Source organism: Homo sapiens, chromosome 1 (genome assembly GCF_000001405.40).
Source record: "Homo sapiens chromosome 1, GRCh38.p14 Primary Assembly".
In the NCBI taxonomy this organism is placed as follows: Eukaryota; Metazoa; Chordata; class Mammalia; order Primates; family Hominidae; genus Homo; species Homo sapiens.
Window position 1 is genome coordinate 185929350 of NC_000001.11, and position 13315 is coordinate 185942664.

General features: G+C 35.2%; 1 protein-coding gene across 4 annotated transcripts in view, besides 1 other annotated feature; it reads left to right on the forward strand.

Moving 5' to 3' along the window:
• Positions 1-13315, forward strand: part of HMCN1 (hemicentin 1) — a 456559-nt gene that overhangs the window by 194959 nt on the left and 248285 nt on the right. For all 4 annotated transcript variants that reach the window (NM_031935.3, XM_011510038.4, XM_024450118.2 and 1 more), the window contains exon 11: positions 4200-4475. In NM_031935.3, the coding sequence (NP_114141.2) occupies positions 4200-4475 (276 nt within the window). The remainder of the gene's footprint in view (positions 1-4199; positions 4476-13315) is intronic.
• Positions 10795-10995: a silencer, noted in NCBI's record as "peak512 fragment used in MPRA reporter construct". NCBI's record gives its function as "represses an SCP1 promoter by STARR-seq MPRAs in K562 erythroleukemia cells {active_cell/tissue: K562}" and the evidence as "EXISTENCE:reporter gene assay evidence [ECO:0000049][PMID:32103011]".

Below are 13315 nucleotides of genomic sequence, written 5' to 3' on the forward strand. Positions count from 1 at the left end.
TAGTTCATATTATTTTATATACATTAAAGTGAAAAAAATAATTTTTCCTCACATAATTTTCAGGGGAAAAAAGACTACCATTTATAATCAATGATCAGGATTAAGCCATTTACTCAGCATTTATCTATAATTGGAAATTTTGTTTTGGCTGAATGATTTTCTACCTGCCTTGTGGACTAGTGTTGCTATGTGTTTAACTGTAACCTATTCTGACCTATATATTGCTGCTGTTGAATTTATTACAATGTCTATATTGCTTTTAGTGCTGATGTGCATTTTCTTCAGACAATTTAAGACAAAGGAAGCTTATAATTATAGGTATATCATATATTTAGAAGTCTAGGATTTGTTGTTCACTATCAGTAAGTTTAAGGTGAACCTTAAAGCAGAAGCATGCAAGTCAGACAAGCATGTTCTTGCAGTTAAACTATTTGTATTCTCTTACTGCTAGAAAAATAAAGTTTGTCTTCTGAAACAATTTAGCAAGTTGACATACATCACAAACTATTCATTTTTTCATGTCCAGTAATTATGAAAAGCATTGGAGTCATGTCAACATTCCTCAGCTCCTGGGAAAACAAACACTTGAACACTTGAGTATTTTTCCCAGCAATACTTTTTAGGAGAAGGACAACAAGGAAAGAGGTTTGAGTGAGTTGATTCAGACATCTTGCATAAATAACTGGGAAGTGCCAGGAAGAACTTGTGAACTGACTGTCATGAATTGGGCTTGACGGTGTCAGGAACTTCCATATGTATATTCTACACATGCCCTTCTAGTAGCCATCTGTGATCTGTGCCAGCCAGGCAATGGAATAACTAGGAAATTGTACTGTGCCCAAGCTGATTTTCAGGAATTGTTTTCCACTCAGTCAATTTAAAAAGAATACGGTGGAAATGGTGATGGCAAGGGCAATGACTATAACAGCAGAAGTCACAAGTGAGTGCCCCTTTGAACTTGAAAGAGAGGACATTTTTTTTCTGGGTTAGCTGTTGCCTAGTACACCAGCCTTTAAGCTCCACTCACTTCTGAATTTCCCTTAGCCTAGGCTGAGGTCCCAGCTCAGCCACCCCACTGTAACTACTTATCAGCACACTGGAATCAGGTGCAAATTCACAGGATAATTCGATCTTATATTTTTAAAGGGATATTAGGAAATAAAGCATTATTTAATACTAATATTCTCATGCCATTATGGATATTATTTTATTTTATAAAGTCAAGGAACACCCAAGAGCAGTTTAAAGAAAAGCCCAAGTTCTACCAATATGTCGCCTCAATTTTTGCCAGCACTTTTTTTCTAGTTGACGTGTTTGAGGACTTTTGGTTCAATTGAAATGTTGGTTATTGGGTTATTGATTGTTTTAAATGCACAACAGGTGTAGAAAGCAATGTTCTTCTCTTTTATTGAATATAAACACATAGAATCTAATGAATAAAACTGCAGAAGCATGAAAAACTTATTCTTTTCATTACATTTGGTAGTTTAGTTTGATACTAAGTTATATTAATTATCTGTACTGAATTGTTTTACTAACACAATGACTTTCACCCAATACACACACACACACACACACACACACACACACACACAGAGTACTAAAATTCTGAGTTTAGGTAAAATTCTGAAGAGCGAAAACTTGTCAAGGGCATGTCAGTGACAGGAAACCTTAAATTATAATTACAGAATATTCTTTTAGAAGGCTAAGATTTGGAAATAATCTTACACCACCTTATCATTTGATAGCTAAAGAAACAGAACCCAGAGAAAGCAAGTGACCCATTTATGATCAAATGGGTAGATAGGTAATAAGATGTAGGTTCCTGGCCTCCTGATTCTCAGTCTCATGGTCTTTACTTAATGTCCCAAGCCTATGCTTGTCATCTTTCCTCCCTCATTATTGAGGTTTCCTTTCTGCTACCCTAATCCTAGTCTGCTTTCACTCAGGAATGGCTGCTCTTTGTACTCCTAGAACAGGTTATTTCTGATAATCTGTAATCTTGGCCTCCTTCACAAACTGCTGTAATTCTCCCGCATCACTCCCCTATTCCTACCAAATTTATTCACATATGCCTAAATATTTCAATGTGTATAATATTTATTGTCTTGAGGTATTTAGGCAGTGGTGGTGTCGTATGCCATTATTTCAAATCTCATCCGCTCATGTATGTTAGTAGAAAGTTGGCATGTACTTATTTGAATTTATATCTGAAGAGGAACTAGAATCTGGGGTGGAGTTTGCATGCAAGAGGGTTTTTGGAGAGTTCTCTAGGGAAAAGCACCTGTAAGGGGATGAAGGAAGTGGAAGAAGAGGAACTGTGCTACAGCTGCAGTAAGGGCCTACAGGGAGGGCCCTGAATTGAGCCAGGAGAGCTGGGTCTTTCTTCCTTCATTAAGAAGTAATTGGATGTGGGCAGCACTGGAAAGGGGGGTCTAACCTTCAGCATGTTTGTTTCATAGGGATCTGAGAGCTAGAAGGAGTCTTTATGATAAAGTAATCATCTTATTTTTCAGATAGAAAAACTGAACTATTAATTTCACTAAATTGGCTTATCTAAAGTCACACAACTAATTAGGGGTAGAACTAGGTGGCCTATTATTACCAAATTTAGCAAATTAAAAATACAGGATGCCCAGTTAAATTTGAATATCACATATGTGTGACCCAAATATTGCACGAGGCATATTTGTACTAAAATATTATTGTATTTGTATCTTAAATTCAGATTTAACAAAGTGTCCTGCATTTTACCTGGGAACCCTAGCCAGACTCCAATCAAAGCTTCCTTTACCTGTATTCTTTCCAATGGATTCACTAGCTATTTTCATAAGATATTTTTAAAAAACATAACAAAATAATTAAACATTATTTTTATAACTTAAAATAGCATATACTACTTAGAAATAGCTTGGAAAACAATGATAAATATAACAAAATATGGAAAACACATATATCACTCAGAGATAACCACTGTGGTTTTGGTATATTTGTTTCCAGTCTTCATTCTAGGCTTATGATATTAATCTGCACTCATATATAGTTTTAAATAGCACAGGGATAAAGTTTGATCTTGAATATTTGACACACTTTCATATTAAACTAAAACAGACACATGAATTTCTAGCTAGCATAGATCACTGCAGTTTTTATTGTTGCATTATTTATAATGTATTGCTACAGGAGATCATTTTAAAGCATTTGAGCAGAGAGAGCTTTGGAGAGAGAATTTAGATTCACTCTCAAAACTAACTAGAGCTAACACAGGAACAGAAAACCAAACACCTCATGTTTTCACTCATAAGTGGGAGTTGAACGATGAGAACACGTGGACATAGGGAGGGGAACATCACACACCAGGGCCTGTTGTGGGGTGGGGGATGAGGGGAGGGAACTTAGAGGACAGGTCAATAGGTGCAGCAAACCACCATGGCACACGTATACCTATGTGACAAACCTGTACGTTCTGCACAGGTACCCCAGAATTTAAAGTAAAATAATAAAAAGAACCAACTAACTAGAGAAACATGTGATTCTCTGCAGAAATGTTGGTTAAATATTTAATTAGTAATTGGCCTTTGACCATATCTGAAACACATGTGTCACTCAATGCCTTTTGTGTATATGGCTCTATGTGTACAATTTTATTAATGGTCTGTTCCTACTGTTCACCTGAACTTCATAAATCAAACTGTTCCCCATTTCTGCTTGAACATTTATCTTACTCTTCTGTTGTCCTGTGTTTCATTAATGAGACTGTAACCCCCCTTAAAGATGATACTGTCATTTTCATGTCTATTATCCTTTGTGTGCTATTTTCTTTACAACGCTAAATACATATTTTTAAAATCTAAAAGTTTGCAAATGCTGCTTTCATCTATAAAAACTTTGCCTCCTTTCACAATCCTCAGTCAGTCAAGTTATACTCTTTTGCCATGGCTCTTTGACTCTCATGTCTATAATTTATAGATTTGGCTTGAGTATCCTTTGGTATGTAAATGTGTACTACTTTCTAAAGCATCCTTTAAGTGGTAATTTTGAGGGGGCTCATAGACATATGCATTAATTGAGTAAGTTCTGTTGCACTGCATCTTTCCTACTGGATGTTCAGTACATACTTATTCAGTTTTTAAACCACATCTGTAAGTGAGCAAAATGGCTTTTAGGTCTCTTGATTTGAATTTTTTGATTTCACACAGAGCCCCCTCCGGTCATCCAAGTGCCTAACAATGTTACAGTCACTCCTGGAGAGAGAGCAGTTTTAACATGTCTCATCATCAGTGCGGTGGATTACAATCTAACCTGGCAGAGGAATGACAGAGATGTCAGACTGGCAGAGCCAGCGAGAATTAGGACCTTGGCTAATCTGTCATTGGAGCTAAAGAGTGTGAAATTCAACGATGCTGGAGAGTATCATTGTATGGTTTCTAGTGAAGGTGGATCATCAGCCGCTTCAGTTTTCCTCACAGTGCAAGGTACAGTGCTTTGGTAACTTCTGAATTATGACATCTTTCTGTCCTCTATTTTTAAAATTTTTGTCCTCCCAAGTTGGCTATCTGAGAGTGAGAGTATCTACCCAAATAATTACAGTTTTAAGTGATAGAATGCTTAACATACTCAGTGGTCTACAGCCAACAAAACTGGAAACTAAAATGTCACTAACAAATAGGTAACTTTAATACAATCACAGCTAATCATAGTAGTTGAAGATGTTTATTTTAAAACAATATAAAAATTGTCTCTGGATAAATAGTTTTAAATTCTTTAATCCATCTTGTGGATTTTTTTAAAAAATACTAATTTTATTAATAATTGGTCAAAAAACAATTTCTTCCCAATTTAAGTACTGTATTTTTGCATACATAACTAACTTGCCTTTTATTGTTCAATTGTTTAGTAATCTCTCACTAATGCCTTTAAAATAAAGGTTTAAGATGCTTCTCATCTTGGTGAAATTTTATTGAAACATAAGCAGAGTGGTTTTTAACCTTATTTGTCTTACACACACACATACACACGCGAGTGCCTGTTGAAAATAAACTAATTGTGAGCCAATTTTGAATTATGTATACATTGACTACTGAATGTTCCAATAGTTGAAAACAAGTTTATGAGCAATGTGGTTAATGGCTACTAAATATATATTGTTCAGGACCATGAAATGACGATCAGAAACCACTCCAAAGTTTCTCTTTCAGTGGAAACATATTTGGCTTCTAAAAGTCTAAAGACCAGCAGGGAATCTTAATGTAATGAACAAATTACTGTTGGCGGTTTTTCACTGTTAAGCTGAAAGGTTCAGTTGCTGCCTCAGCAGAATATTTTATTTCAGTTCCTTGATGTGGGAGACTGATTGCATCAGAATTGGGTCTAGCTATTTGATTGTGGTATTAGAAACAACTTTATAACATGCCTGAAGTAACATTCTCAGGTAACTTTTTAGCAAGGTTACCTAAGAAAATGACCATTCAGTTTCAAGGCTAAATCTTAGAATGTTATTAATGACAGAAAAGCGAAACTACCATGAGAATTAACAAAATGGTTGACATCTGATTATAGTTTTCTCCTTGGTAGTTGAAATATATGCTGCAATCAGAATGTGTGTCTTTTGTTAGTTGATCTGGGGAGTCGTCTAGGGAAATGTTGCTTTTGTAAATGATTCACCACATTTCCACATCAAACTGCCTAGATAATATGAGTCGATCCAAGTTCTAGCAACTTGGGTTACTAGAACTCTGGAACTATTTTACCAAACTGATTGTTTCAGATAAAATAAGTGCTAATGGACTTCTGAAATTTGAACTTGGTTCTTTATTTGAAGTCCCTTAGAATGAGATTGTAAAATAAAATCAGAGCCTTCCTTGTTTCTCCACGTTAACGTTATAGTCCATAATTTTTCTATTTAGTGCATTAGAGCAGTGATTCTCAAACTTCTGTGAGTAAAGAATTACCCAAGGACTTTTTTAAAAATGCAGATTTCTAACCCCACATCAAGAGATTCTGTTTCCATAGGTCTAGTGTGTGGCCTGGGAATCTGCATTTTAACAGACTTCTCAAGTAGTTCCATGGACATTTTCTGAAAACAGCATATACATCCATCCTGCAGAATGAACCATATGATCTAGAAATGTGTATCTTTAAGGGAAGCTCTTGACTCTCTTCTTGCTGGTAAAATAAAGCCATTATTATCCAACAATTTTAAAAAGTGCTGAGGTAAGATGTTATATAATACACAAAACATAAATATAAAAAAATATGACAGTACATTATTACTGGGTAATCTGTACTAGTGGTGTAAATCTGTCTAGAGGTGTTATTTTATGGCCTGTCTAGTTGGCCTTGAGTTTGAAGGGCCAATTTTGATGATAAGGGATATTTCAAAAATCTAACAAAAATATAGTCTAGAATTGATAATACTGCTTAGTAACAATAACAGACTTTTGCTAATTGTGGCTATCTAAATGTATTATTTTATGGTTGAATGTACTATAGAAAAGCTATGGGTATTTGATGAAGTAAACTGCCATACCTAGAGGTAAAGTTTATGATAATATGAGAAATGATAAACTGTTGAGATTAAAGCTTACATTACAAATTAATTTCACTTTAATGCAGCTAAATCTTTTTAAAAGCAGAAATAACAAATAGTTTTAGAAAACTTAAAAGACAAAATAATACTTGGATTGAATACATACTTTAGGAATAGTTTTCTTGTTTAAAGGGGAATCAGTAGCTTAATTCACAGCCTCATTTATGTTGTTATGCTTCCACTGGTGTGTTTGGGAACTAGTTCTATCTGGAATACTTTTAAGAGTTAAAAAATCTAGATTTTACAAGTTTTTTGTAGTAATTTTACAAAATATAATTAGCAAGAATTTTCTTCTTTAAGATAGTATATGTCTAATATTGCAGCCCTTCTTTACCTGACAATAAATTATATATAAAGACTTCAAAAAGACAAAGCTAAAGAATAGTAAAAACTAGCAGCAATTAACAGCAGCAAAAATCCTAGGAGGAATTTTATATGTATTACATATAAATATTTTTTATTATGTAAATATGTATATAGAACATTTATCTATATTTTAAGATCACTGGAATGAAAATCTTGACAGTGCTCCATCCTTTTTCTGTTCACATGAAAGTAGGAAATATCTTTGTCCCTGTTTCGTAGTTTGCTCCAAAAAGAAAATGTTACTCTTTGAAGAAGCCAGAATGCTATTTTCTCATACTCATTAATAGCTCTAACTATCCAAATTAGGAAACTAGCAGGACAGAAAATGAACAGGCAACCTGGTTCCAGATAGAAAATTGTAACCTTGGATATATGTAACCTGGGATGTATGTTTCCCACCAATGAAAATATTTGAAAGCAAGAGAAACATCGATATGAATGTCAGTTAGAAATTTTAGAAACAGATGGTAGCAGAGGGGAGCATCACATCTCAGCCAAAAGAGCTCCATAGATGAGGACTGGGCAAGGAGCCATGTACATCAGACTCTCACTCAGCTGCAGAGCTGAAAAGGGGGTTCAGCTCCTCCAGAACAGAAGCAGAGTGAGAATGAAGTCAAGTCCATCCAAACACTTTGTTAAAAGACACTAGTTTTGGATGAGTGTCACCTCATTTGAAGATGAATAAACAGAAAACTATCAAAATAAATAAAACAGTGGAGGGAAAATGAAGCATAGGACTTAAGTAGAAATACTGAGGAACAAAACAAGGCGGTCAGGGAATACTTAGAAGAAATGGATGCTTTGAAAGCAGCTTATTCTAGAGACTAGGGGAAAAAATATTTGGTCTGCCCATTGTCTTTCAAAAAGACTTCAATTCTTTTAGATGACAGTGTGTATTCATATGGTGTCTTAGTCTGTTTTTTGCCACCATAACAGAATACCTGAGACTGGGTAATTTATAATGAACAGAAATTTATTGGCTCACAGTGCTGAAGGCTGGGAAGTCCAAGATCCAGACTGGGGCATCTAGTGAAGGCCTTCCACTTGCATCAGCACATGGTGGAAGGCAGAAAGACAAAGAGAGCAAGAGAGCAAATCTACTCCTGTGAGCTTTTTTTATAAGGGTATTAATGTTTTCATGTGGACAGAGACCTAAACATCTCCCATGAGGCCTCATCTCCCAACGCTGTTGCATTGGAGATTAAGTTTTCAGCACACAAATTCAGGGAGACACATTCAAACCATAACATAAGGCAAGAACTGGCTAAGATAAAAGGACAATAATAAGTGGAATGGGCTGGACGCAGTGGCTCACGCCTGTAATCCCAGCACTTTGGGAGGCCGAGATGGGCAGATCATGAGGTCAGGAGATTGAGACCATCCTGGCTAACATGGTGAAACCCTATCTCAACTAAAAATACCAAAAATTAGCCAGGCTTGGTGGCACACATCTGTAGTCCCAGCTACTTGGGAGGCTGAGGCAGGAGAATTGCTTGAACTTGGGAGGCGGAGGTTGCTGTGAGTCAAGATCACGCCTCTGCACTCCAGCCTGGGCAACAGAGCGAGACTCCATCTCAAAATAATAATAATAATAATAATAATAATAATAATAATAATAGTAATAATAATAAGTGGAATGGAAGAAGTCAGAAAAGATTTGATTTTAAAAATGCAATATTTTAGTGCAAATATGTAATAGAGGCACTAAAGAGGAGAATTTATACTATATAAAAAATCATGGATGTGGTGCATAAATTTGAGAAGTCTTTCAGAATATTGAAAATAACTAACAGTTGAATAATATGATTTTTTAAGTGGAAATTAGAAACAGAAGTTTAATCTAAAATTTATAGGAGTTTAGGAAGCAAAGATGATTGAAACTAAAGAAATAGTCCAAGATATAATTGAAGAAAACTGTTCTAGGGAGAAAAAGTTGTCTTGGGTGAATAGATTAACCAAGGTAAATGAAGGGAGAACTTCATCTAGACACATCCTGGCTGAATTTGATATTACTAGTAGGAAGAATCTGCTCATTCCCCATAAGCATATGACTAAACCCATTGTAAACAGAAAGATAAAATCAGATTTGTGTCTGACTTCTTATGCTAAAAGTTAGATGATAATTGCAGTGGATATTTGTTATAGTTTTGCTTTTAGGGTCTGAATACTTTCCCTAATTTGTGGAGGAATTATTTATTATCTTGGTGGGAAGCAGAAAACAAGTGAGGTCAGATAATTCATTTTCCTTATTCCCTAGATCTCATGACCCACAGCCAGCCACTCATATGCTCCCAGTGGGACTTGGACTCTTGCCAAGACCACGAACACTTAAAAAATTCCAATTTTTGGCAGCATCATTGAATTTAGAGTCCAACAGCAGAAGCAAATGTCCCAGTGGCCCTTCACCATCACTTTAACAGACTGATGTTGGCTGTGTTCTCAGCGGTCTAGCCATACCATTTCTACCTGATATCCAGTTTCCTTTTGATTCTGTACCTCAAAAAAAATTTTCCCAATGAATTCCTTTTCTGCTTAAGTCAGCCAGCCTGGTTCCTGTTGTTTGCAATTGAGAATTCCAACTGACACAATAATAAGAAAGATGCAAGTAGTTTTGAAAAAAAAGGAATCCAAGAATTTAATCTAGTTAAGTTGTCTTTCCTATGAAAAGCCATCAAAAGGACATTCTCAAATATTCAAGGGTTCAGGAAAAATACCAAACATATAGCTTTCTTAAAATGATTTATTAAAAATGCAACTTAACTGCTTGAAGTAGATCTTAAAAAGGAAAAACAAAAAAATCAAAATTGGAGAGGCCATGGTATGAAGAACTGGTGAACTTCCCTCAGTGGCTATTATCAGGTTCATTACCAACTCATCAAAAAAGCTTTGGGAAGCAAAGCTAACCTCAGAAACTATGGCTGTTTGAATCAGCCACACTGATGAGCATGTGAGAATGTGAATGAATTGATATGCTTATTTCATTATGAGAATTCCTTACCACGAGGATAATGGTACAATTAGACACAGGAAATTCCCCAGGAAAGGAATCCCCTCAAGCAGGGTTTACCACAAGACTCAGAAGTCCCGCTATGCAAACAAACAAATGGAAGCAAACACTGCTATGCTAGGAGAAAAAAGATGTCTAGATTGATGTATACAAAACGTGTACATGATTGTTTGGGGGCAGCAGAACTATAAGTGACTTTTTGACTTGTAGTTTTTTTGTTTTTCTTTTTTAAGATCAAATTCAGGCAGTTAATTTGCATTTTTCATAAATCATTTCATACTTTTCTGTACTTGAAAAATTACTTAAATGGATTATTTTTAAACTTTGTGTAAATAGGATTTAAATTTTCTTAAATGCTCATGTTAATTTTATTAGAGGGTTGAATTATGCATGAGTAATTTCTTCTCTTTGTTTTCTAGATATTGAGAATGTGCCTTATCGCTTTCATATTTAAAATAATTGAAAAAATAAAAGACAGTTTAAAAATAAGAAATAACTAAGAACACAAATTAACAAATAATGCCTCTCAAAAAGAAAAGCAACAGCACTTAAGATAAAAATAGATTTTAGGTCAATTTATAAGAAGAAACATCTCCTATCTGCTTTATATAAATGGAAGTATAGATTATAAAGTAAGGATCTAGTGATATATTCCCTTAAATATTAAAAAGTTGAGCTCTAAAAAGTTTATTTTAGAGAAAATAATTCTTCCCAAGGTTTATTTGTAGGCAGCTCTAGTTCTGTTAGGTATAAAAATATGACAACAGTTTCACCACTGCATGTTGAGTGGTGTAAGTTCTTTTCAGTAGAGTGGTAAAAGTGCTTTTTTAGTACAAATAACTGAGGTATGGTATCAGCTTATGCCACAAAATTATTGCTTTTTAAAATGACTTAAAGCTTATTTAAATATATTATCTTAACAGTAAGAGAAACTAACACTTTATGTAAACATAAAATAAGATGATACTCAGCATGCTGTGGTGGCATCTCTTACTAACTTTAGCTTTCATGTATTAGTACTTTGATTTTCTTTGTCATGTTCCATTTCACTTATTAAAAAAAAACTGTCATGGCTAAGTTTTCTTCTCCCATGAATAATCTATGAACTGCTTCACCTCTAGAGATGGACCTATTTTAACTTGCTTGTGCAGGATATGTTTTAATTCTGGTTACTAATGAGCTAGTCTCTCTGAGTTGCTGTTTTCATATGTAGAAAAAAATAGACCTTCTTTCTCTTTGGCTGTTTTCTTCCATCTTTGTGCAAACTTGGCCTTTGCCTTCAAAGAATATTATAGCACACTCCCAAATCATGATTGGGGCAGAACTTAACTTTAACAAAATTCTATTGACAGAGAAGTTTACTTTTGAGAAGGCTGGCTAATGTGATTTATTTCCTACAGTTGCTAGTCATCTAGAAGCTTCTTTAATCAAGCTACATATTTTTCTTCTCTGAACACTTTTTTTTTTTTGAGACAAAGTCTCGGTCTTGTTGCCCAGGCTGGAGTGCAATGGCACGATCTTGGCTCACCCCAGCCTCTACCTCCCAGGTTCAAGCTATTCTCCTGCCTCAGCCTCCTCAGTAGCTGGGATTACAGGCATGTGCCACCACGTCAGCTAATTTTGTATTTTTAGTAGAGACGGGGTTTCTCCATGTTGGTCAGGCTAGTCTCAAACTCCCGACCTCAGGGGATCTGCCTGCCTTGGCCTCCCAAGGTGTGTATTTTTAGTAGAGACGGTGTTTCACCATGCTGGCCAGGCTCATCTCGAGCTCCTGACCTCATGATCTGCCCGCCTCGGCCTCCCAAAGTGCTGAGATTACAGGTGTGAGCCACTGCACCTGGCCCTCTGAATACTTTTTAAAGAGTATGAGATGTATTTAAAAATGGTAAGTTCATGGAATTTACTTTAAGACCATTAGTGTTGAGATGACCTCGCTTGGTCTTCAGAATGGATTACTTATAACTATTCCACTTGTTGGGAAGTTTATCTCATATCTATAACATGTCAGAAGTTATTCTACATATTTTAAAAATCTATATGGTACTTAACAAGCATCTACCACATGGAGTTATTTCTAAATTAAAGAGTGTCATAAAACAGTCAAACTTAAAATGTTAAGTTAGAACATCTGACTGTACAAACATTCATATTTGAAAGCTTAAAGATCTGGAATTTTGTAGGACTGTGTTACAGAGTAAGTCCTTTAAATTCTTTCTGAACCAAAATGAGGTCTATGAAAAGGAATAAATGCAAAATTTCAATTGATAACTAAATTAGATTTTCTTGTAGGAAAAATTTGGTATTCACGTAATTTCTCTGCCAAATGTAATCTACTGTCTCCATGGTTAGAGGCAAGTTTCTGTTATAAAACATTCCAGTTTCATGCAATAAAATATATGAATGAATATCATGTTTCAGTTACTTTTGCCTTTCATCTAAGAAATCTGTGTACTATAAAGATGTTAGAGAACTTTAATTTTAGATGAAAAGAGTGATCTCTCTAAAACTTAAAGAAAAGAAATATTAAAGTGTCTTTAAATAGAACTTATAAGGAAAGACTAAAGAATTAGACTTATTTAGATTATAAAAGACAAAAAAGGACTGGGTGTGGTGGCTCATGCCTGTTATCTCAGCACTTTGGGAGGCAAGATGGGCAGATTATTTGAAGTCAGGAGTTCGAGACCAGCCTGACAACATGGTGAAACTCCATCTCTACTAAAAATACAAAAATTAGCCAGGCGTGGTGGCACATGCCTGTAATCCCAGCTACTCGGGAGGATGAGGCGGGAGAATCACTTACACCCGGGAGGCGGAGGTTGTAGTGAGCCGAGATCACGCCACTGCACTCCAGCCTGGGCCACAGAGTGAGACTCCATCTCAAAAAAAAAAAAAAAAAATCAAAAAAGAAAAAAAGGATATGAATGACTTAATAAGTAATTCAAGTATGTAAGAAAATTATTATAAAAAAGTGATACACTGTGGACATTTTAATTTTCAGCAAAAATAGACCATGTGAATATGTGTATTCAGCCAAGTCTGATGGCTTTAAGTGAGCTAGTGGAAAAGATGTCTAGGTGTTGGAGAGGTTAAATGATAGAATGCAGTAGCAGGGAAAACGATACTCCTTTCTCAATGCATTGACTGCTGGGAAGAGAGGTCTAATAGGCAGTTAGCAAACATATCAACCCACTGAATTATTTAAAGAAAGCTACCAACTAACTTTTTTAAAATTTTGGGAGTTCATATCATACTTAACTTCATCTAATTCTCACAGACGGCTGTTATTTACTATGGTCAATTTCAATTTACAGCGCTTCTAAATGTGTAAATTTTTTTTTCCACACCAACAACCA